The sequence below is a fragment of the Homo sapiens genome, chromosome 7 (genome assembly GCF_000001405.40).
Source record: "Homo sapiens chromosome 7, GRCh38.p14 Primary Assembly".
In the NCBI taxonomy this organism is placed as follows: Eukaryota; Metazoa; Chordata; class Mammalia; order Primates; family Hominidae; genus Homo; species Homo sapiens.
The window spans coordinates 36,343,317-36,369,218 of record NC_000007.14 but is presented as its reverse complement, the minus strand read 5'-3'; the positions used below and the strand labels follow the sequence as shown (position 1 = coordinate 36,369,218).

At 39.5% G+C, this 25,902-nt stretch overlaps 1 protein-coding gene across 10 annotated transcripts in view, besides 2 other annotated features; it reads left to right on the top strand.

Annotated features, from left to right (window-relative positions):
* Positions 1-25,902, top strand: part of MATCAP2 (microtubule associated tyrosine carboxypeptidase 2) — a 66,206-nt gene that overhangs the window by 21,139 nt on the left and 19,165 nt on the right. For 2 of the 10 annotated variants that reach the window (XM_024446702.2, NM_001199708.2), the window contains exons 1-2: positions 1,979-2,108; positions 11,629-12,317. In XM_024446702.2, coding sequence (XP_024302470.1) covers positions 11,904-12,317 — 414 coding nt within the window. In that variant the 5' untranslated portion in view covers positions 1,979-2,108; positions 11,629-11,903. Of the gene's footprint in view, positions 1-1,978; positions 2,516-11,628; positions 12,318-25,902 lie in introns of those variants that run through there. The other 8 variants (NM_015314.3, NM_001199706.2, NM_001199707.2 and 5 more) reach the window with 5 other exon arrangements.
* Positions 2,230-2,329: a silencer, noted in NCBI's record as "silent region_18101". NCBI's record gives its function as "represses an Ori minimal core promoter by ATAC-STARR-seq in GM12878 lymphoblastoid cells {active_cell/tissue: GM12878}" and the evidence as "EXISTENCE:reporter gene assay evidence [ECO:0000049][PMID:35858748]".
* Positions 8,395-9,112: an enhancer, noted in NCBI's record as "OCT4-NANOG hESC enhancer chr7:36399716-36400433 (GRCh37/hg19 assembly coordinates)". NCBI's record gives its function as "activates a minimal SCP1, AML or CMV promoter by ChIP-STARR-seq in naive and primed H9 embryonic stem cells {active_cell/tissue: H9 hESC(naive and primed)}" and the evidence as "EXISTENCE:reporter gene assay evidence [ECO:0000049][PMID:30033119]".

Sequence of the window (25,902 nt, the reverse complement as noted above, 5' to 3'; positions counted from 1 at the left end):
GAAAATGCACACACTTTCTGTTGTCTACTTATTCATTAATTCACAAATATTTATTAAGGACCTACTACATGCCAGCCACTCTTCTTGGTGTGGGAATATAGCAGTGAACAAACAAAAATCACTGCACTTGTGGAAATTTTATTCTAGGGATGGAGACAGACAACAGTCATGATAAATCAATAAAATATATAATAAATTAGATAATGTTAAGTGCTAAGTAAAAAAAATAAAGCAGAGAAGGGCTATAGGAAATATGAAGGAGTAGAATTTTAAATAGAGTGGCCAGGGAAGGGCTCACGAAGAGGTGACATTTGGATTAAGTCCTGAGGAAGTAAGGGAGCTAGTCCTGCGGATATCTGAGGGAAGAACATTCCACGCAGGGAGGATTCCAAGTTGCAAAGGCCTTGAGGTGAAATAGTGCCTGGAATTGAGGAATATCAAAGAGGCCAGTGTATCCATCGGGGAGGAAGTAGTTGGGGATGAGATCAAAGAGGTGACAGGAGGCTAGGTCATAAAGGACTTCACAGGAAAGGAAGCCACTGAAGATTTTGAACAGAGTGACATGATCTGATTTTTTCACAGGTTCACTCTGGCCAATGAGTTTTGAGAACAGTGTGAAAGAGGGTAGGGTGGGAATACAGAGACTGTCTAGAAGACTGCCATAATCCAGACAAGAGGTGGTGGTGGCTTGAACCAGAGTGGTAGCAAGTGGCTAGATTCTGGATGTATTTCGAAAACAGTAGTCACAGGATTTGAAGACAGAATATGAAGTGAGGTTATCCAGTTTTTGTGATATAGTTACATTTCCATTGTTCTCTCCTAAGTGATGAAAAAGACACAATTTCTCACAAGTTGCCTGTCATTCTCAGGGTGTGACGGTCCTGATATTCAACTTTCTTTTGTTCCTGAGTTTGAAAACACACCCCAATTATTTCCATGTCTTAGCCTTGAGGATGAAGAGAAAATTTAACTGTCTGAAGACTGACAGTTGCCAGCACTATCTCAGCTCCTCCTAAACTGTAAGCTCCGCTAGGCTTATTTCATTTCCCTTGATATCCTCAAAGCCTGCCTCAGAACCTTGCACACGTTAGGGTCTCAAAAAATGTTTGTTGAATGGTTTAGTCTACATTTCCCATTCCCACCGTACTTTTTTTTTTTTTTTAGTCTCACTTTGTCACCCAGGCTGGAGTGCAGTGGCGCGATCATGGCTCACTACATTCTCACCTCTCGGACTCAAGCAATCCTCCCACCTCGGCCTCCCGAGTAGCTGGGACTACAGAAGTGTGCCACCACGATTTGTTCACTTTTTGTGTTTTTAGTAGAGATGGGTTTTCGCCATGTGGCCCAGGCTGGTCTCCAACTCCTGGCCTCAAGCGATCCACCCGCCTTGGTCTCCCAAAGTGCGAGGATTACAGGCATGAGCCACCGTGGCCCGCCTCCCATGGTTATTGTAAAAGATTAAATTTTCATACTTGCTAATGTGAAAATGAATAATAAACTGAAAATAACATTCAGCCCCTATCAATTGCACAATCACAAGCTAAAATGTGAATTTCAGCATTAAGGATAGTATGCTGAGGTACCGTCAAGTGGTCATTGAGCCTCCTGCACTTTCCACTCTTACTAGCTCATCCTAAACGTGTTTTAGCTTCCCCGCACCTCGTAAGGGGAAGGACGGGTAGACTGGCTTTGCTATTTGCAGCTAGGGCCGAGTGTCACAGCGCACCATGGAGTTAAGTCACCTTTGAACGGGTACAAACGTCTCTGAAAGATCAGTCAATATGCGTTACCCACTGGCTGGAGACCCCAGCGCGCTCGCGGGCACAGCCACAAGCCCCGGAGGCACTGGCCCGCGCTGTGCACGCCGGGAGTTGTAGTTCCTCCCACTCTCTCTCGCCGCCCGCGGGCCTTCGTCGCACGAGCGCCCCCAGCGGCGCGCAGGCTCCGTGAAGCGCAGCGCGCGCGGACCCCGGGGGCAGTTTCCTAGCAACCGGCGGAGCGGCTACGTCACGGTGGCAGGTTCTAAGCGCTGCTGGGCACCGTAAGGCCGCCGTGTGTACCTTCCAGTAGCTACGGGCTGGTGGAAGCGCTGCTCACAGTCAGTGTCGGTACGTCTTCGTCCGCCCTTACCCTCCTTATCCTGCTCCAGGTAGCGGAGAGCCGCCTCCCGCCGCGCCCCCGCCACCGAGGCCCGGGTCAGAGGCTAGAGGCCGCCCGCCCCTGCGCGGCCCTTTCCCCTGAGCCCGCGGAGCCCGCCGCCCCGGGCCTCGGGGCGACGATGCTGGAGTCCATTCGCGTGACGGGTGAGTGCCGGGAAGGGCTGGCCGCGGCGGGGGTGCGGGGCGGACCGGGGTCCCGCCGCCCGGGGCTCAGGTAATGGTAGCCACCGGCTGGGCGCGCCGCTCGGGACTCCACCCTGCGCCCCGACCCCTTCGGGGCGCGCAGGAGGCGCTCGCGAAAAACCTGTGGAGGGAAGAGAGAAATCGGCCCCTTATCCTTTCGTCACTTATTATCAGTAAGTACCTGCTGTGGAATCTCGTGGAAAAGATTGTAATATTAGACCGGTTGCTGGTCTTACAAAGGTACAATCCAAAGATTGTTAAATCCTATTTCAAAACACGCTAGGTGTGTGATTAAGCTTCATAATTTTCTAGAATGTTCAGAAAAAATAAGCTAAGCGAAAGAACACATCTGTATATTTCATTATTTATACTGTGTATATTTGTGTGTGTATGCTTTTATTCTTAAACAGTGAGAACGTTTTGAGTTGATATTATTAATAGGCCATTTTACAGTACGGATTATACCAAGTGTAAAACATGGGTCTTTAAACAGACCCCAGGTCAGAAAGTCTGGAAGTTTACCTGCATTTTTTTAAATTCAGTTCAATCTCTGGGAGCACAGAACTTGACTCTTATTATTTGTAAATCGCTATGCGTGTTAGCTATTAAAAAAAACCTTACATAATATTAGAGTAATTTTCTAGGCCATTTTCCCAGCATTTGATTCTGTACGCAAACATTTCTGCAAGCAGGGTTTTGGCAGTTCAGAATTATGACGAAGAACAACGGAGTAAAGGGAAATACTCCTCAAACTAGTGCCAAAATAAAGCCGGAATTTTACATTTTAGAGCAATGCAGTACCTACCAGACTATTTTTCTGTGAGCATTCTAACTGAAAAACCAAACCTCTTTCCAGTGAAAATATTTATGATTTTAATTTTATACTGTTTTATTTCACGTTCAGTGTTATACGGAGTAGATTTGTGCAGTCACAAATCATGACGTTGCCACGATGTATATCATTTATGTTGACAGGAAACATAGTTCCAGGATCTGAGATCGAAAAGGCAACTTTAATTGGCATTAGAATTTTTAAAAATGTGATTTGATGTAGATGCTACTTTCATCTTAAAACACAATTAAAATGTCAAAAGTTACTTAAAAGTACCATACCTCCTAAATATGGAGCAAGGTTTCTCAACCTCCGCACCATTAACTTTGTTGTTGTTGTTGTTTTTGAGACGGAGTCTCGCTCTGTCGCCCAGGGTGGAGTGCAGTGGCGCTGTCTCTGCTCACTGCAATCTCCACCTCCCAGGTTCAAGCGATTCTCCTGCCTCAGCCTCCGAGTAGCTGGGATTACAGACGCATGCTACCACGCCCGCCGGATTTTTGTATTTTTAATAGAGACAGGGTTTCACCATGTTGGCCAGGCTGGTCTGGAACTCCTGACCTCAGGTGATCCTCACACCTCCGCCTCCCAAAGTGCTGGGATTATAGGCATGAACCACTGTGCCCAGCCTAGCACTGTTAACTTTGGACAAGATAGTTCTTCCTTGTGGGATGCTGTTCTCTGCCCCGCCCCCATAATTGTGACAACTAAAAATCACAATTGGGCAGGGGTGAGGGGTAGGGCAACATCTCCTTCTCCATGAGAATCAATGCCTTGAAGAAAAATATAGATTCTGTCACAGTGCACATTATTTCATTGAGAAATCACATAGATTAAAATTATTTTCCCAAACCATAACAATCATTGTAGAGATACAAATAAATTAATATTAGTATTAGAAAGTAGATACTATGATCAATTAGTCATGCAGAGTGATCTCTTGATATGTCAACATGTTGAGTTAGAAGTTTGAGAAGAGATACTTTAGAAAGTAGTAGACCCACTCCTCTTGTCTCATTTCCCTTCCTATAATTTAGTGGCAGTACATTTATGAATCCAACCCTGTATGTTTGCAAACCCTGAGGTAGACAATTTGGCAGTGAATTTCTATAGTACAATAAAGTTCAAATAGCCATTTGAGACCATGCAAGCCTCTAATTTACAATTCCTTTAAAAATAACTGGGTCATTTTTCAGACTACTTTCTCTCTTAAATATACTTAACTGCTTGAAATAATTCTAGAGCCCTGTGCCCAGCATTTCACTGCGATATCAGAAAAACCCAGTTTGGACAGCCAGAAACTTCATGTAGAGAGTTAAGCTGAAAACATGCCCTCCTCTCCCCTGGTCATTCCCTCACGATTCATTGATATCTGAGATGGCCATGTTCTTCTTTCTGGTTAGCAGAACTTGATTGTGGTAAGAGTACTGATGGAAATGTGTTCATTTTTTTTTCAGCTCTAAAAGTCGTTACAAATATAGAACAGACTCATTTTATATTTCAGGAATGAAGCAATTACTTGTTTCTGAAATCCTTCCTATATAATATCTTACCCACTTTTGACTTATTAGTATATGCTATCTATGCTGTTTAAAAATGGAATCAAATCAGAAAAGGTTTTTTTGACTTCTCATGGCCTTTTAAAGAAGAAGGTTCTGAGGCTGGGTGCAGTGGCTCACACTTGTAATCCCAGCAGTTTGTGAGGCGGAGAGCAGGCGGATTACCTGAGCTCAGGAGTTCAAGACCAGCCTGGGCAACACGGCAAAACCTTATCTCTACAAAAAATTAAAAAATTAGCCGGGCATGATGGCCTGCGCCTGTAGTCCCAGCTACTTGGAAGGCTGAGGCAGGAGTATCACTTGAGCGCCCAGGCGGCAGAGGTTGCAGTGAGTCAGGATTGCCACTGCACTCCAGCCTTGGCCACAGAGTGAGACCCTGTCACAAAAAAAAAAAAAAGAAGAAGAAGATTCTACTTTAGCTTCCGGGATTTAAAAAAAAAAAAAGGGTTTATTATACCAAAGCCACTAAAATCTTGATTCTAAAATATAGATTAATTACCTTATTAACATGAAATTTGCCTTGGAATTCAAATTTAATGATTCAGAATATTTCCCTATGTACATTTTTCCATGCGGTGTTTCTATAGGAGCTGAATATAATATTTAATGTGATACTAATAATAGTTAACAAAGGCTGCTTACCTATAGTCCAGCACTGTTCTCAGCACTTCACACATATTCACTTTTAAAATCCTTACAATAATACTATGAAGTATGCATTATTATTATCCCATTTTACAGATAAGGAAACTGTAGCACAAAGAAGTTATGTAACTTGGTCAGGGTAATAGCTATTAATAAACAGAGCCAAGATTCATACCAGACAACTCCATTCCAAAGTCCATGTTGTCAACTGCTAGGAAAATCAGCTCACTATTATAGTGACTGTACACTGATTTGAGCCACAAAATCCAACATCAAGATTTCATGTAATATCAGTGTGACATTATCCGATGGTTTGCTCAACTGTTGGTTTTTAGATTTTTAATCACAGGCAAGTATGTAATAATTTTTACCTGGGAAAATCATATTTCACTTGAATAAAAATTTGTTGTTTTCAAAATAGAACGCATCTAGTTCATTCATTAACAAAATGCTGTGAGAAACCATATAAGATTATGTTCATTTATGATTGCCTATCGGCTTTATTTTGTATGTGATATAAGGAGAGATTAATGAGTCATTCCAGAAATGAAGTGTCTTTATATCAAAGATGAATGTTTAAAAATACTGGAAATGAAAGTCTTAAGGCCATCGTTAGGCCATACAGGTTGAATATACCTAGGCACATAGCTCCTGTTTGTCCTACAGCAGCAGGTACCTACCATGTTGTCTTCAACATCACTAATTGTTTCATTTTTCTTTTACCTTCCTGGGATAATTTTTTCCTCAACCGTCAGGCAACTAAGTCTTTTACCCTTTCTTTCCTCTCAAATATTCTCTTCCCTTGTCTACCTCTCTGGCCCCCCTTTCATAAGCAGGACAGTGAATAAGCAAAACCAAACACAGATGTATGTTGTAAAAGAGCTTATAATTTCATTGTTGACGAAGTCTGTCATACAACAAATATAAACCTGCAACCATGATAAAGTACTTCGAAGAAGAGATACAAGGTGTTATGAGGGTCTAAAATGAAAAAGTTAAGGAAGGCTTCCTGACCAAGTGCTATTTGAACTGAAAGATGAGTGGATATTAATCTAACAAAGAGAGGGATAGAAGGGCCCAGCAGACACAGGGAGCAGCATGTGAAGAAGTATGTTCGGAGAGAGCATAGTGAGTATGAGATATGGTCAAAGTGAGAGAAGGCTGGAGTGGAGAAATTGAGGAACACAGTGTGAGGTGAGGCTGCAGAGGCAGAAGGATCTGACCAAGAGTGACCTCATAGACCATGGTTAGGAGTTTTGTCCATCCCAAGGGAAAGCCATGGGAAAGTTTGTTTCTGGCACATTTAGTGTTATTTTAGATGATGTATAATGCTCACTCTTACCACAACCATCACCATCAAGGGTATCTAGACTACTCTGTATTTCTAACTGTAAAAACAACAAACACACAAGTTTCTGACCCCAAAACAACAGTGTCCCATTATAAGTTACTAATAGAGCAGCACTGAATTGCTCTTACCTGGGGCTGTGAAATTTTTAAGAATCCTAAAGTACAGTCAAGTTTCTGAATTCCTGAATGACATTAGCAGTGCCTTTCGTCTCATTTTCATACAGTCGATAAACTACATTGGTTGCTATTGAATTTAGAGATACTATAGTTAATAGATTATCTGTTATAGTGCAGACAAATTGAGCAATAAATATGTTTTTAAGGATACTGATTTTATACACCATTAAAAAAATTAAAGTGTAACTTAAATAAAGTCTACAAGTCTTAAATGTGCAGCCCAATGACTTTGTACATACATAACCATTGCCCAGAACAGATAGCGAACATTTCCAGCACCTGGTAGGTTTCCTGGTATCCTCCTAGATTGTGATTCATCCCTCAAAGGTAACTGCTATTCTGACGTCTAATACCATAAATTAGTTTTGCTGTTTTGGAGTACATATAAATGGAATTATACACTATAAAATCTTTTGATGTGGCTTCATTTGCTCAACATTGTCTGAGATACATCCATATTGTTGCTTACAACGTCAGTTTTCTTTTCATTGTCGTATAGTCTTCTGTTATATGAGCGTACCACAATTTATCCTTTCTACTGTTGATACTGTTTGAGGTGTTTTTGTTTGTTTGTTTGTTCATTTGTTTTTTAGAATTGGAGTTTTGCTATGTTGTCTAGGCTGGACTCAAACTCCTGGGTTCAAGTAGTCTTCCAGCCTCAGCTTCCTGAATAGCTGGGACTACAGGCATGTGCCACTGTGCCTAGCTTCTTTTGAGTTTTTAGTAATGAAAGTCTTGATAAAATTAAAGTTTATCTTGTTTGGGGATTATTTTGTTTTGTTTTGGCCTTTCTTTTGTTTGTAATGAAGTAACCTATTGTTTTGTGGTATAAAATTATCCCAGATTCTCAGGTTTCGTAAGTATTAGTGAACCATACGAAATTTCCATTTGTAGGTCAAAACTGGTTGAATAGTATTTGCCACCAGGCTTTGTTTCTGGTGATCTTCCTTTTCAGCCAGAGACCTCCTGATTACTATGAAACCTCACCTACTCACAGTTGTGAAACACTACTTTTAGAGAGCAGTGTCTCCCTTTTCCCCCATTCTTTTAGATGGGGAACGGGAGGTACCGATGGGTTTAATGATTAGGCTAATATTACAGAGAGGTCATTGAAAGAGCTGGGAATGGATGTCAGGAATCTTGGTATCCTTTTCTCCTGTTCTAGATATATACTAAGTTTTCATTGTGTTGATAACTTCAGTATATTCACCTACTTGCGAATAGACTATCAATTTTAATGTACAAATATTATTTACCCTTTTTTCCTCAGTATGGGTAATCAGGTTGGGGTGAACGATTTTCTTCTATCAACAAATTATTTTCATTCTCTCCAATATAGTGAAACAGATTGCTTATAGCTAAGTTTTACATTATATAATGACTACCTTTAATGTGAGAAAGTATGCTTTTTAATTACCTTATTACTTTTCTGGGAAAACACGAGTTACACTTCCTCCAAATAAGTCTGTTTATGCTTTTAAAATGTTTTAATTTTTCAGGAAAAAGGATTCAGAGAATAGGATGTTCTTTAATAAATTGTGTCAAATGTTATCGGCCTCTTAGTGTTCTTAACCATGTTCAAAAGTCTTTTTTTCACAAAGTAAGCAATAGTATTTAAAATTACAAAAACAATCTCTTAGGTTCTATGATACTTTTTAATGTAACTGAAATACAATTACTGTGACTCTGAGAAATTAATTTATATCCATCTTGTATGAGTTGCGTGAAGGACCATGTGCCCCACTTTTATGAACTTCATGGGCTATCCAGCATTTAACAGGATTGACATTTGTAAAATAAATAGACCATTAACACTCCCAAACTTTATTCAGCAGCAGATGGAGCTTCAAAAGGACTCGTGCTAAGCTTCTCAGGAGATAATTAGCAAGTGAACTGAAATGCTGTAATTCCTGGGGAGAGAGGTTCTGTCAGGCATATACTGTCACCCCGCTGCCATACTTCATTCCTCCTTGAGTATTTTGACAGGTGGTTTAGGACGTTTTTTTTTAGTATCTGGAAATGTGTAGGCTGTTTCAGATGGCACAAAATTATGAATTTGGAGGTCACTGATGCTTTACGACAAAAAACTCAGCAAGCTCAGTTCTTTGGTCGTAAAGCTACTAGGTCTTAGAAAACAGAGCATTTTCACATTGAGTATTCATTTTTAAAAAATCAGTACAACATATATGTAATGAATCATCAAAACAAATTCTTCAGAGTAGTCTTATTTATTGATTTTAATTTGGTGTAACTCTGTCCCTTTTTATTACGAAGATCAACTGAGAAAACAACCTGATTTCCTCCCTTTACGTTTCCGGCTACACCTAGTCCTTACCCTACTTCCTAGGCTTATGCTTATTTGAGTTCTTTCAGTCTTTCCCTTTTTGTATCTATTTCGGTTTTCTTTTCATTATCACCTCTTGTCTCCTAAGCTTGTGGTGTCGTTTGAGGGAAACCGACATTATTCCTGGGCATTTGGGCTACAGCCTGTGTCCTGGTATTCCTTAGCCTGTTTGCTTGGCCTGCTCAGTTTTGACTGTTAGTTGGCAACACGTAAGTCTATGAAACTCCTGAGAAACTGGGAGCTACCAGCCTATGATGAACGTTTTGTTTATTTGTCCAGTTAATTTTGTCTTGTTGAGTCTTTAACATTTATTGAACAGCTTCTTTGTACAACCTGTCTTCAACATGACCCTATGTGATCTAGCTCCTATCTCTAAACTTACACATATAATAGACATTTAGCCCCTGCAAGCTTTAGAAATACCTTTATGTTATCTTTTAGACACCAAAATTCAGATTTCACATGCTGGCCTAGAAAATGTAAGTAAAAGGACTTTTAAATACCTTACATATTTGGATTATTATCTACTTTAGTACTGTCTCTTTACCCTAGACTCTGTGACTCCTGGGTTTTAAAAACTAACATTTAGATAAGAGTTTCTCTACCTTGATACTGTTGACATTTTGGAATGAATCTTTCTTTGTTGTGGGAGATTGTCCTATGCAGTGAAGGATGTTTAGCAGCATCCCTGGCCTTTACCTGCTAGATGTCAATACCCTCTCCCCAGTTGTGACAACCAAAATGTCTCTAGACATTGCCAAATGTTCCCTGGAGGGTAAAATTGCCTTCTGTTAAGAACTACTGGTTTAGGGTCTTTCCTGTTATATTTTCAGGTCTGCAGTTATCTCATATTTGAATGGTCCCAGAACTACAAGTACATATTTATTCAGAATGGTTGCAGAATTGCATGTTTAGGGTCATTTATTTATTCATTTGTTTATTCAGTGAACACTTATTGACAGGAGTTGAGCTGGAGTCTTGTTCAGATGAGATGTATTTAAGACAAACTCTTCATCAGTTTAGAATTGAATCTGAAAACCCTTAAGGGCCTACTTGAAATCTCATCTGTTTCTCTTCATATTGCTTCCTTCCTCATCTGAACTGTAGGTTATTGTTTGTGTCTTTTGTTTTTCATGTTTAATTATATACTACATTGTATTATTGTTGAAATCTTCATAGGAATGCCTTGTCTTCAGAGCCAGATTAGAAGCTGGTTATAGGTAAGAACAATGTGTTTATACAGTTGTTTATCAGAGCCATGTGCTGAATTAGTAGCATTCTACGTATTTGTTGAATGAAAGAATGCAGATCAACACAGTTTTAAAGTAGTGAATGCACAACAGTATATCCAGTGATTCTTATCTGTTTAAAGCACTTGTGAGTTCTAAAAACAAAGCTGCCCTCTCCTTCACTTGCCATTTGATATATTAATACCTTTGTAATAGTTATTAAAATTTGTTTTTCTAACTTGCCAAGAAAAAACCCTTGTTTTTCTTTAACCTTAACGTACAGCTTAGAATTATGAAGAAAATCAACCAGTTATTCATACTAAGCGACATTACTAAAACATGCTTGAAGATGCCATCTGTTTAATCTTAACAATGGTTTTTGAGTAAATAAGGCTTTGTTGTCCTTTTACTGATAGCTACCTTTATATATATTTCCAAATTTCAAGATTGTATTGTCTTTGAAAGTGCCTTGGATTTTACTTTATTATAGAAAATACTATTTTAAAATATATCATTTCTATGAAATCCACATTCTTTTTTTTTTTTAAGATAGGGTCTCACTCTGTCACCCAGGCTGGAGTGCAGTGGTGCGATCTCAGCTCACAGCAACCTCTGCCTCCCGGATTCAGGCAATTCTCATGCCTCAGCCTCCTGAGTAGCTGGGATTACAGGGGCGCACCACTATACCTGGCTAATTTTTGTATTTTTTGGTAGAGACAGGGTTTCACCATGTTGGCCAGGCTGGTCTCCAGCTCCTGCTCAAGTGATCTGCCTGCCTCGACCTCCCAAAATGCTGGGATTACAGGTGTGAGCCACTGCGCCCAGCCAAAATCTACATTCTTTTGTAGAATCAAGTATTCAGATTATTTATGTATATTATCTCACATATTAGACTTTGATCATCTAAGTGGTTTGAAGCTGAGGATTTTTTAGATAATTTAACTTATATATACTCATAGAGAAGAGAAATGACAGTAGCTAGCGTGACCAAAGTTTAGTAATATATCCTTTTAATATTTAAAATGTTTTTTTCTAATGATTACTGCAAAATTACGAAGTTTATAGAATCTTCAGAATACCTTTCCTAATAAACAGTTTGCTTCATCTGGTATCTTTGTTATTTCTTTTGTTTTGATTTTGTTTATTAACACAGAAAAGCTTCACTGGCCTGAGCAAGAACTTGCTAAGAAGTCTATTCTAAATGCAGAAGATTCATTGATCATTGACAACAAAAGAAGCATTTCACATTTGTCCTCGGGAGTGCTAAAAGACATTTTCACAACTGGAACCAGTAGTTACAATGTCCTACTACAGAGCAAGGAGGAAAAAAAGTATCATTCACAAAAACAGTCTTCCTCCACCTACTCCAAAAGATGTAGAAAACCCAGCAAATCTCCTAACACTTCTCGTAGCAAAGATCCTCGCAGGATGAAAGCCCTGGTGCCTGTGACAAGCAGTGGTACTTGGTACTGCCTGGAGAGGCGGCCTGCTGTTTTTGTCACTAGTTCAGTGTCAAGTCCTGTAAAGTTTACACATGATATCTCTGTTACAGGGAATGGCATAGTACTGCCACCTAAACCCAAAAGCAAGGTCAAGTGGTGCCATTTCTCCACTCTTCCAAAGCCAAAGCCTCAGCTGTCTAGAAGCTTTGAAAAGGGAGATGACTTTTCTGGGAAGAAATTTTGTATATTGACTGCTATAAAACCCACCAACTTAGAGAAAGAAAAACTGAGATTCTTCAAATCTGACTATACCTACAATCCTCAGTTTGAGTATGCCAATCCTGCTCTGCCAAGCGTATTAGCTAAGCATAGCCACGCATCTGACCGATTTCTTAAGCAGGTAAAATGCCATTTCAATAGTGGTAGTTCATTTTTATGTACTAAAACAATTATCTGTGATCTTATAAGCAAAAACAAAGACATTTAAAAATATTCAAATTATTTCTATGTTATGGTTAATTCCCACTCAGGACATGTAAATGTGCGACAAGACGAGTATTACCTGTATATAAACTCCATTGCATTCATCAAAATTTATAATCTGTTATATAGGCTCTTTGTGACAGGAAGCAATTATATTAGGAAGACAGCTTCAGATTCTGGTTCTAAGCTTTCATGTGGGAGTTACAAACTTGTGGCCAATTTAGCCGCCTACAGACAAGTGTTGGGTAGCCCACACTACGTTTTTGTTTTCTAATTGATTTCTTTGTTGTTTTTTGTTTTTTTCTGAGACAGATTCTTGCTCTTTGCCCAGGTTGGAGTGTAGTGGCACGATCTTGGCTCACTGCAACCTCTGCCTTCTGGGTTCAAGTGATTCTTGTGTCTCAGCCTCCCGAGTAGCTGGGACTACAGGCACCCGCCACCATACCCAGCTAATTTTTGTAATTTTAGTGAAGATGGGGTTTCACCATTTTGGCCAGGCTGGTCTTGAACTCCTGATCTCCAGTGATTTGCCCGCCTTGGCCTCCCAAAGTGTTGAGGTTGCAGGTGTGAGCCACCATGCCTGGCCTCTAATTGATTTTTTAATGTCTTAGATGGAGCATGCAATCCCTGGTTCTTCCTATTGTGTTAAATTCCTGGCTTGCTTAGGCTCCGGTAAGTAGTTTGGGAACCGAAGCTTGATTCTTGTCCATGAACTTGTTAATGCTTCACTGAAATTGTTAATCATCATCAAATAAATATTTAAGCACTTATTCAAAGATAAAAATAATGGGATTTTCAAAATTATCTTCAAGTTTAGCAAATTATGATGTGAACGTTATGAATAATACTTTTAAATTGCTCACTTTAAGCCCTTAGCAGTTTTGTGTTTTACAGGGCTATAATACATTTCAGAACCTCATTTAAGCATTTGAGAAGAAATTAGCTAATGTTTATCTGCAGGGCATAGTTTTGAGATCATAAAGGCCGACAATATTTGGTCAAATTAACTTTGTTCAGGTTTTTATAATATATTAGCTTCAACTTGGCATTGTCAGTGACTGAAAATCTGTTTGTAGGATAGGTAAAACTGCATGGTTCTCTCGCCTGTGGTGCATGTCCTATTTTAGCATTTTTGCTGATAATAGTTATTTGGTCTTGCGGCCAGCAGATATTTTGCTGTTTATTATAGATAACATGGAATCTGGCCAGTCTTTTGAAGCCATTATGTAAAACTTAATTATGTAAAGCCATTATGTAAAGATTAAAATAATTTTAATCATGGTATTTACTTTCCTTTGTTAGGGTCTCTTTGCTTCTGCTTCTGTATTCTTTAATGGGTATTTGCTTTTTAAAAAATGTGCTGAGATTGTGCTAAAAATTGTGATTCAAATTGATAACTTACTAATATAAAGTGGCACTTCTGGATGGGAGAAGGCAGCATTAACATAGTGATTACATAATCCACTCTTAGGCTGTACTACTTCCACATTGTAAAATGGAGTAAAGAAAATACCTACTTTAGGAGATTATTTTGATAATTAAATGAGAGAATGCTTAGTGCATATATTGCAGTTATCATCGTGCTTGGCACCTACAAAGCACTAATAAAGAGGTTAGCTGTTATTTTTATTTCTATTTGGCAGCCATTCTTACATGTGGTTTTTTGTGTGTGTGGAAATTGTAGTCGATTGAACAAGGCTTTCACAAATATAAATTTTACAATGATAAAAATCCTATTTGCATTTTCCCCCTGATGCTGAAAGAGATGGCTGAGATTTATTTACCAGTATTCCTTAATTTGGAGACCTACCCCACCCCTACCTGTTGGGAAAGAGATTTCCAACCATTAGATGAAAAAGAATGCTCTTTGATTTCTCTGGAAGGCAATTTGGGAGCCTCAGCAGCCCCACAGTTTGAGAGTTGACATTGCTTAGCCTGTGGCTTTGCAATTTTAATTTTGATCCAATTCCAGCTTTAGGAGATTAATCCTACACTTGAATTGCTTGAGACTTCTAAGTAGCACTAGCAATCTTAGCTGACTTGTACTGCAAATGCCACCATTTGGGAGAATATTCTCAATAAATGCCAAGTATACTGTTTAAACCACTTTAATCAAAGAAATACATGGTACAAGACCTCTGGGAAAATATACTTAAATTCTTCTTCAGCTACCGAGTGAATAATGACATGATATCATACATCCATCTCCTCCTTAGATAAAGCAGCAGCTTCAAGGCTGGTCTCCAGGACTCAGAAACATGATACCCAAAGGGGCCAGGATGGCCAACTAGCCCCATGGTCTCTGGCTTCTACCTTTGAGGCCTTGCCAATCCACAGCTGACAGTCTCTTGAGTTTCACAATCTGAATCTTGGTAAACAGGCAATCTGTATTGTTTTGGAGGATGATTGTGGTCCTCTTAAGTGCACAGATTAGCAGAATGATGCTAGACTTTCGCGCACAGATAAGTCTGCCACAGTGGAACCGAGGCAGTGCTCATGCTCTGTTCTCCCCATCATTGTCAAGGAGTTCCAGGCCTCAGGTTTTTTGGTCTAGGCAGTATGTCCCTAGGGAGGCACTCAGACCACTGAGGTGATACAGGACATACAGCAGGCTGCAGGACTGGAATATAACTCTAGGTGTAGCCTGCTGAGCCCTGGCTTGCTGCATGCTGGCAGCCATGGTAGCCTCAGCTTCCTGACTCTTAGAGACGTTTAAACTTGACAGAAACTCAAGATGTCTGTTTTCTGTGGCTTTGGACCTTTGCAGGAAAGAGTACAGTGCTTCATAGGTGCTAAGGAAGGGATCTGGAATTAGAGCCTGCAGAAAGCTACTTGGGGTCAGGTGCATCCTCACCAGTGGGTCAGAAGTAGATTCTTAGTGGTGCTCTTGAGCAGTAAATACTTCAGATAAAATCTGCATATTATCTTAAGTTCATGTGAGTTTTGCATCATACTTCATATTGTATCTTTATTCTAATAAAGAAAAATGTAAATTGCCTATCTTCAAGTAAAATGGATACTTTAAGAATAAACAAGGAGGCTGGGTATGGTGGCTCACACCTGTAATCCCAGCACTTTGGGAGTCCGAGGCAGGCGGATCACTTGAGGTCAGAAGTTCGAGACTAGCCTGACCAACATGGTGAAACCCCGTCTCTACTAAAAATACAAAAATTAGCTGGGCGTGGTGGTGGGCGCCTGTAGTCCCAGCTACTTGGGAGGCTAAGGCAGGAGAATCGCTTGAACCTGGGAGGTGGAGGTTACAGTGAGCTGAGATCGCACCACTGCACTCCAGCCTGGGCCATAGAGTGAGACACTGTCTCAAAAAAAAAAAAAAAAAGAGCATAAACAGGGAGTATCTTCCCATGATTCTGGCAACCCCTCTATTCTCCCCCAAGGTGAAAAACAGAAAGTTAGTACTAAAGCTTTGCCAACAAAAAACAGCTGTTTTCATGAACAGCTTACTCTCAGAAGATTACATATTAACAATTGCTCACCTGTAAAATTAGCCCTGTCACCAAAAGACCTGTAGCATCTTTTTTTGAGACAGGGTCTTGCTCTGTCGCCCAGGCTGGAGAGCTGGGGTGTGATCATAGCTCACTGCAGCCTTGAACTGCTGGGCACAAGCGATCCTCCCACTTTAGCCCCCAGCCCCAGTAGCTGGGACTTACAGGCGTGCACCAGCACACCAGGCTAGTTTTTTAAAACTTTTTGGATAGGTGGGGGGGTCTCACTATGCTGTCTTGGCTGGTCTCCTGAGCTCAAGTGATCCTCTGGCTTTGGCCTCCCAAAGTGCTAAGATTACAGGTATGGGCCACTGCGCCGGGCCTGACCTGTAGCATCTTGAGGGGAAAGCATAGACAAGGCACCTTCTGGGAAGAAAAACAGCAATCAGGAAAAGCCAGAACACCATATGTCTCAGAGCAAGCAGAGGTTCTGATGAGAACAAAGTCGTAATTTACTAACTACAAACATAATACTTTTTTTTTTTTTTTTGAGATGGGAGTCTCACTCTGTTGCCCAGGCTAGAGTGGCAATCTCCACTCACTGCAGCCTCAGCCTCCCAGGTTCAACCAATTCTCCTTCCTCAGCCTCCTGAGTAGCTGGGATTATGGGCACCCGCCATGATGCCTGGCTAATTTTTGTATTTTTAGTAAAGACGACATTTCACCTCATCTGTTGGCCAGGCTGGTCTCGAACTCCTGACCTCAAGTGATCCACCCACCTCGACCTCCCAAAGTGCTGGGATTACAGGCATGAGCCACCGTGCCCGGCCCATACTGTCTTTCTAATAATAAAACATTAAGAGTGATATATCTTGATTTATTATAAAAAGACATATCCATGAGTGAAACAGTATAGTTGCAGTAAGAGTTGAAAAAGAAAGCTGCAAGAAAGGTTCTTTTTTTTTTTTTTTTTTTTTTTAAGATGGAGTCTCACTCTGTCACCCAGGCTGGAGTACAGTGGTGCAATTTCAGCTTACTGCAACCTCCGCTGCCTGGGTTCAAGCGATTCTCCTGCCTCGTCCTCCCAAGTAGCTGGGATTACAGGCGTGCGCTGCCATGCCCGGCTATTTTTTTGTATTTTTAGTAGAGACAGGGTTTCGCCATGTTGGCCAGGCTGGTGTTGAACTCCTGACCTCAGGTAATCCACCCACCTCGGCCTCCCAAAGTGCTGGGATTATAGGCATGAGCCAGTGCGCCCAGTGAAAAGTTTAATTTTAAGAAAGGGTTTGATGTTTCTCAAAAAAGGCATTTTCATCACAACCATATAATTTAAGAGTTAGGGTACATTTGATATCGATAGATGTCTATTTGAGTGGAAAAACTTATTTTCCTTGTGTTATTGTATCTTAAATTTTTTTTTTTTTTTTTTTTTTTAACAATCTCCCTTTGTCACCCAGGCTGGAGTACAGTGGTGCAAACATGGCTCACTGCAGCCTTGACCTCCTGGGTGCAAGCAATCCTCCCACCTCAGCCCCGCAAGTAGCTGAACTATAGGCATGTGCCACCATGCCTGGCTAATTTTTGTATTTTTTGTACAAACAGGATTTTGCCATGTTGCCCAGGCTGGTTCCAAACTCCTGAGCTCATGCAGTCCACCTGCCTCGGCCTCCCAAAGTGATGGGATTACAGGCATGAGCCACGACACCTGGCCCTAAATTTTTTTTTTACTACCTTAATGGAAGTTAATAGTTCTGTGCTGTCAAGAGTAACTTAGTAGAGTTATTGGAAACCTCAGATATATTTAAAATAGAGGTTTCATTCTTATTTGGCGGTCATTCTGCCAAAATAGAGAAAAGGAAAGGACTGTGATTCTGACAGCCCCTTTTTCCCTACACCAGAGCAACACAGCACACAACACTCTATGGCATAGCAGTGCATTTGCATTTATAGACTTCATATTTTATTTATTTATTTATTTATGAGCCAGAGTCTTGCTCTGTCACCCAGGCTGGAGTGCAATTATGCAGTCTCGGCTCACTGCAATCTCCATCTCCCAGGTTCAAGCAATTCTCCTGCCTCAGCCTCCCGAGTAGCTGGGACTATAGGCACGGGCTACCATGCCCAGCTAATTTTTGTACTTTTAGTAAAGACAGGGTTTCACCATGTTTGCCAGGCTGGTCTTGAACTCCTGACCTCAGGTGATCCACCCACCTTGGCCTCCCAAATGCTGGGATTACAGGCGTGAGCTACCACACCCAGCCAGAGTTCAAATTTTGAAAGTAAGTACCTATGTGGACCAACTTCATTATGTTAGGAAGTAAATTCTGATTTTCATCTTCCTTGGTTAGTAAACTATATAGTCATGGTATATAGGTTCACAAACTCAGATGCCTGTAGGATCTGGGCAAAAATCATAAATGAAACTGGCTGAGTATAGTAGTAAATTGGAAATCAGCAGTTATTTTGTTTGAGCCACAGTTTGGAACCAGTATCTGTGAGATTTTCAAGGGAAGGTAGAAACCTGAATTTTATATGAAGTCTTCCAGTTTGTAAACATTGATACCCAAGTCAGTTAAAACACAGGCTGAGGCTGGGCATGGTGGCTCATGTCTATAAGACCAGCCTGGCCAGCCTAGTGAAACCCTGTCTCTACGAAAAATACAAAAATTATCTGGGCATGGTGGCGCATGCCTGTAATCCCAGCTACTTCGGAGGCTGAGATGAGGATTGAGAGAATTGCTTGAACCTGGGAAGTGGAGGTTGCGGTGAGCCAAGATCATGCCATTGCACTACAGCCTGGGTGACGGAATGAGACTCTGTCTCAAAAAAAAAAAAAAAAAAAAGGAACACAGTCCGTCCAGGCCAATGAAGACCTCTCTGTGGGCCACATTTTCCCCTTGGATTGCCATTTTGCTACCTCTGATTCACCAGCTCTATTTCACATAGGCTCCATTTTATTAGAATCAATGATTAGTATGGCAAAGACTTAAATGTGATCCTCTGAAAACAGTCTTTTGATTTTAGCGTTTATAGTGTGAATGGAATAGGCAATTCATTGTTATATTAAAACACATAATAGGTACATATATAATATTACATTATTGTGCTTTAAAACAGGTCAAATGTTCATTTTTCTCTTTTGATAGAAAAAAATTTAATTGGAAATAAATTGCCTTCACTAATAGGATGTCTTGACGTAAAATTTCTTTAAAGCTAAGTTATAATTGTACTAGTATTGAAATATTATTTTATCTTTGTAGACCTCAGGTTGTCAAAACAATGAAGGGGAGGAAAAAGTAAGCCTTCTTTAAATTATACCTTTTCCTAGGTGACATGATATTCTGTTTAGCAAATCACAAACCTTTCACAGATACACTGAAGTTATAAGGTTTTTAGAATTTTGAGTTTAGTATGTTCCATAGTAGCCTTGTGTATTAGATCGGAGAACTGGGGTTATTTCTTAACCTAAATAGCAAGAAAGATTTTTTCACAGATCAGAGATGGAAACTCCCCCATCAGATTATATGTCCTTGGAAGAAGATATGAACTTGATGACTCATTGAAAGGCTTTGTTGATTTGCCTTTGAAAACTTGATTAACATGTACATTCTCAGGTTCTTACCTTAACAAAGTCTTTTCAACAAAACAGGTTGAATATCTGCTTTTCCCCTTGTAGGTGGTGAAAGAATAGTCTGCGGTATTTAGGCATTTATAAATATCTTATCCTCATAGCAGTTACCCTCTTATTTTCCCACTCACCCTTTTATACATCCAGAATACTCCCAGCCCTGATAACACAGAAATTCAGCCGAGAATACAAGAGGGGTATAAGGTGTGGGGTGGGTGTGTGGAGGCAAGGAGGGTCAGATAAGTTACAGGTGACAACTTAATTCTTTGCCTGGCTGTGTCATTCATTGAAGGCACAGTCAGTGTCTGAGATGTATTTATTTTCTAGGTTCTGCATAGGTAGAATATAATATTTTGAAATATTTTGGTTTGTTTCTTTTTATTACAATTCTATAATATTTTGAAATATTTTGGTCTGTTTCTTTTTATTGCAATCTGGTCCTAGTCTGCAGTTCACGTTACAGAAAACTGGATTGTTGGCAAAAGTACTTTTGCTCCTTTCTGTCTCTCCCCTGCTCTCCACACTGCTGTCAGTGTCTTCCTACGATGCAAATTTGATCATCTCACCTCTTCAAAAAAAACTTCAGGGCTCCTCATAATTTAGGATAAAGTTCAAAATCTTTGTCATGGCCTGCAAGGCCTTATACCAAGGTCAACTGTATTCTCCCACAGCATCCCACGTAAATATCGGTCACAGCATTTATCCACTGTTACCATCCTTCAGTTTCTTGTTTGTCTTTATCCACAGACCAACCTCCTTGAGAGAAGTGTGTTTTTCTTTGTTTTTCTTATTTCAGCTATTCCCAGAATTGAGCGCAGTTCCTGGCACTGAATAAACAAGTTTCCCAGTGCCTGTCCATCCCAGGAACCCTGCAGTCTTGTCAAATCAAGCTCTATTTCACTTTCTTTAGTTTCTATATGCTTATGATGATATTAGCCCCTTTTGCATGGAATGTCCTCTATTTCCTCTAATCCCCTACTTCTATTTCCCTTTTTTCAATGATCTCACAATACTTTATTTATAATTCCATCAAAGTATTACTACATTGGATCTGTTTATATGTCATCTCTGCCAGTCTAATGGTAGAACAGGGACTTAGATTCTAAAATATAAAACTGCATAAAAGTGACAGTGATTGTCACATAGAAGGTGAGGAATAGCTAGATAAATGAATGGTCCTTTTTGCTGGTATGTTAAAAATGTAGTGAAATACTTTGTAACAGTGGATCCAAATTTGTGACCCAGGGGTCAAGTTCAGCCTGCATATATGTTTTGTTTGGCCAGCACAGTGTTTTATAAAGCATTGGAATGTAAATATGCTCTTCTTTTGCCTCTTCCAGATGTCTTATAATCAGTAGCTTTACACAGTGATTGGTGCTTACAGCTGAAGGGATTTTAGTGTGTGACTACCACTGTCCCATTAGTTTGTGGCTACAATACCTTAAATGGAGGCCTAATGATCTGATTGAGTAATCACAAATCTTTATGTACCTAATTTGCTACCAGGAAGCAATGACCAGCATTGAAAAACTCATTTAGTATCTTGCTTTTCATTCTGAGAAGCTTAAAGAGCCAGAATATGTATATGTATGTATATATATCCCATGCTTATCTGAAGTAACCATTTTCGGACTGTTCTGAGGCGCACCACCTAAGCAAAGGAGCCATACGTGTTGGAAGACATAGAATATTATATTCATCTCCAACATTCACCACACATAGTATCATAATAAAAGCTTAGAGGAGTCTTTTGTTTAATATTTTCCAAACTATAATTTGGCCTTGAAACCTTTAAAAAACAGTATCTTGTTGACTGCTTTCCCTCAAGAAAGTCTGGAAAACACTGGCTTAAAGAAAAGGACTGTCTTGAGATCCTAGGGATTATTCTGTTTGGGGGGGAAGTTTTAGATTCTAGAATTTTCTGAAAAGGAGAGGAATGAAGGGAGAGTTGGAGTGGTATATTAACTAGTAAGGCAGGAAAAACATAACCTTGAGTAAAAAGTTGGAGGGCAAACCAATTACCTTAAATTCTGAAATTAAAACCCAGTGATCTTCTGTTAAAACTTAAGTACTTTCTACAGTCATATGGGAAATAAGCACATTCACAGCCCCTCCATGCTTTCATTTTGTCTTCACAACTCTGTGGGGTAAATAGGGCAGAGATTTTAATCTCCCTTTTGCCAGTGAAGAACCTAAACCTGAGAAAGGTACAACGACAAACCTAAGAGCACACAGTCAGCAAATGGTGGGGCCCCAATGTAAAACCAGGTCTTCTGACTTCTAGTGTTTCCACAGCATTATCCTACCCCCTATCATACTGGTGTCCTCATTGTATGTAGTTTTTCATTAAGTGAAAACTGCAGTTGAGAAGGGAGATAGTTTTTTAGCACATGATTGATGGTCAGGTTTCCAGATTGCTAAACATTAAACAAAATCAGCAAGTAAACCAAAAGTTTGTCATTAAACAAAATACTGAGATTTTTCAGAAACTTTATTATCTAAGTGTTGAAAGTTTTATATAGAAAACTTTTTTTTCTAGATTAGTGATTTCAATGTTAAATTATGCTATTCGATTACTCTTCCCTTTAAAAAAATAGCTTTATTAAGATACAATTCACATGTCATACTAAAGTATGCAGTTCTCCTGCAATGTAAAACTAAACTAAAAAAAATCATAAGCAATAAAATAGACCGGACACGGTGGCTCAGGCCTGTAATGCCAGCACTTTGGGGGGCCAAGGTGGGTGGATCATGAGGTCAGGAGTTTGAGACCAGCCTGACCAACATGGTGAAACCCTGTCTCTACTAAAAATATAAAAATTAGCCTAGTGTGGTGGCGGGCACCTATAATCCTAGCTACTCAGGAGGCTGAGGCAGGAGAATCGCTTGAACCCGGGAGGCGGAGGTTGCAGTAAGCCAAGATCGTGCCACTGCACTCCAGCCCGGGCAACAGAGCGACACTCTGTCTCAAAAAAGTAAAATAAAATAAATAAAACTAGAGTACAGTTCAGTGGTTTTTAATGTATTTAGAGTTGTGCAACTATAACCACTAATTCTAGAACATTTCGTCACCTCAAAAAGAAACACTGTACCCATTAGCAATCGTTCCCCATCTCACCAACCTTCCAGCCCTAGGCAACCACCAGTCTATTTTCTGACTTTCTGGATTTGCCTGTTCTGGACTTTCGATATGAATGGAATCATACAATACCTTGTGGTCCTTTGTGACTGGCTTCTGTCACTTATTATAATGTTTTCAAAGTTTATCCATGCTGTGTTCTAGCATGCATCAGCATTTTTTATTGCTGAATAATATTCCATGTATGAATATACTACATTCTATTTTTTTTATAATTTGATAGACATTTGGGTTATTTCTACTTTTTGGCTGTTAATAATGCTGTATGAACATTTGTGTACACATTTTTTATGGACAAATGTTTTCAGTTATCTTGGGTCCACATCTAGTAGTGGACTTGTTAGTACATATAATTTCTCTATGTTTAACCTTTTAAGGAACTGCCAGACTGTTTTTCAAAGTGATTATACCATTTTAGTTTCCCATGAGCAGCATGTGAGCGTTCCAGTTTCTCCACGTTCTCATCAGCCCTTTTTTTTTCCTATAGACATCCCAGTGGGAGTGAAGTGGTATCTCATTGTGCTTTTGATTTGCAATTCCCTGATGGTTAATAATGGCCATTTTGTATATCCTCTTTGGAAAATTGCCTATTTCAGATCCTTTGCCAATTTTTCAGTTGAGTTATTTGTTCTTGAGTTGCAGGAGTTCTTTATATATTTTAGATATCAGATATGAAATTTGCAAACACTTTCTCCCATTCTTTGGGTCACTTTTTATTTTTATGATAGTATCCTTAGAAGCACAATTTTGATGAAGTCCATCTTATCTTTTTGTTGTTTGTGCTTTTGGTGTCATATCTAAGATCCCATTGCCTAATCCAGGGTCATGAAGATGTATGCCTATGCTTGCTTCTAAGAGTTTTATTGCTTTAGCTCTTAAGAGGTTAAGGTCTTGGATCCATTTTGAGTTAATTTTTATATATGATATGGGATAGAGGTCCAACTCCATTCTTTTAAATGTGGATATCCAATTGTCCCAGCCCCACTGTTTGAAAATAATTTGATTACATACTGTTCTAATTTTAATAGAGGAGAATAAAAGTGCTTCAGGATCCTGAGATGACAGATCTGTAATATGAATAATGGTGCTATTCTATTTTGTGTGGCATTGTAAGTGACATTCAGGTGAGGAGAGAACAATTACTCATTTTGCTTTTATTTCCTCTTTGCTCTAGATTCCAGGTCTCTGAAAATCAATTTGTTTTGATGCCTATAAGATATGCAAAGGTTTATTTAAAATATTCTCTTCTTCAACTGTATGCTTCTGGTGAAGAAAAATCTTTTAAAAATTTAAAAATATATTCTCATTCTATAAAGTGGGAAAGATTCAGAAATGATTGATTTGTGAATAGAGATAATAACAATTTAGTAAAAATATGGGTTTTTTTGTTCAATGTTTTTAAAAAGGCAAAAATGTATTTGGTTGCTTGTTTCACATCAGTTTTAGCAAGAAGTGTTATCCTACCTGACAGTGTGTCTTGTGGAACTCAAGAGTAGATTCCGTTATACTATTTTCTAACAAGGTAATGGAGGAGTTGGCCAAGTACATTTTAAGATGTACACAAAGGGAAGGTCCAAAGTCAGATTCATGCGGACTAGGAGGCTGAGACCTGGACAATAGGGATAGGTGTGTGTACATTAAGATGTTCTGGTTCTAGGAATTTTAAAACTGATTTATGAAAATTTGTAATGTTACATTGCTTTCTACTTATGTCGCTATTCTTAGAGTTGGAAGGAAGCAAAGAATATATTTGATATCTGTGGGCAAATCTGGGCTGGATTTTTAGGGAAGTGGCTCTCTGTTCCATGAGTTAACCTCAAGAATGCAAAATATACCAACTGTTTTCCTGCTAACAATCATCCCTACCTAAAAATCTATTATAGAAAAATATTAGTTGAATTTTTAAGATTTAAAAACAATTTCATGTATTTCTTTGTTAAATGCAAATACTCCAGAGAAGGGATATCAATGCCTACCTGGCAAATGGGAAAAGGTAATTAGATAGTGAATAGAAAGGCCAGGAGATTCCAAAGTAGAAGGCACTTAACCATTTGTTTTTCCAGTTAGAAAAGTAGTTTATATTCAGTATAAAAACTTAGAAAAGTGTGGAGAATAAGAATCCCATAATTCTACCACCCACAGGTAACCACTATTGACCTTTGAGAGTATTTTTCTTTTCCCATGCTTAATGATCATAATTGTGGTCAATGTACTTTCACTTACTTATCATAAACATTTTCTCATATCATTAAAAACCATCAACATTTTTTATGTCAGCATCAGTTTCAGTGCCTGCATATTTTTCATATAATAGGTGTATAGTAATTAACTTGAATATTTAGATTGTTCCTTATTGGACTTTTTTATTTCAGAGAAACAGTTTTGTTAGTCATTTACTCTAGGGAGCTTTTTGCCTACAGCCTGTGGGAATGAGGCTAGTTAGTGAGATGTTCAGAGGAGAGTGTTTCTTTTTCAGTGCAGGTTATTCTAGACATCCTGATGTGTCTCAGAGTGCTTCTCTTCTTATTAACTTACCTAGAAATAATGGCATTTTTTAAGAAAATAGTTTTATTTATTTACAGACAATAAAATTTACTCATTTTAGGTATATATTGCTGTCACTCTCTTTCCCTGAACCGTGTCTCCAGGCAACCAGTGATCTGAAGTGGCCATCTGATCAGTTTTACTCAGGTCTTTTTATTGCTAAGAAAAGTTGCCTTAATTTTGAGTATTTCTCTGAACCATTTATTTTAGTTTTCTTTTATTCGTTTTTATAATTAACAGACTTCATATTAGCCATATGCATTTCACATGTCTCACCTTCCCTCTCATTTTGACCTTTTTTCTCTTTTCCTAAGATAATTTTTTATACTTCTTTAAACATTTTATTTTCTTTCCTTTTCTTTCTTCCTTCCTTCCTTCTTTCCTTCCTTCCTTTACTTTCTTTCCTTCCTTCTCTTTTCTTTTTCTTTTTCTTTTCTTTTCCTTCCTTCTCTCCTTCTTTCCTTCCTTTCCACCTCCCCTCTCCCTCTCCCTCTCCCTCTCCCTTCCCTTCCCTCCCCTCCTCTCCCCTCCCCTCCCCTCTCCCCTCCCATCTCCCCTCCCCTCCCATCTCCCGTCCCCTCTCCCCTCCCCTCTCCCCTCCCCTCTCCCCTCCCCTCTCCTCTCCCCTCCCATCTCCCCTCCTCTCCCCCCACCCTTCCCCTCCCCTTCTCTCTCCTCCCTTCCCCTCCCCTCCTCTCTCCTCCCTTCCCCTCTGCTCCCCTCTCCTCTCCTCTCCTACAGGGTCTCA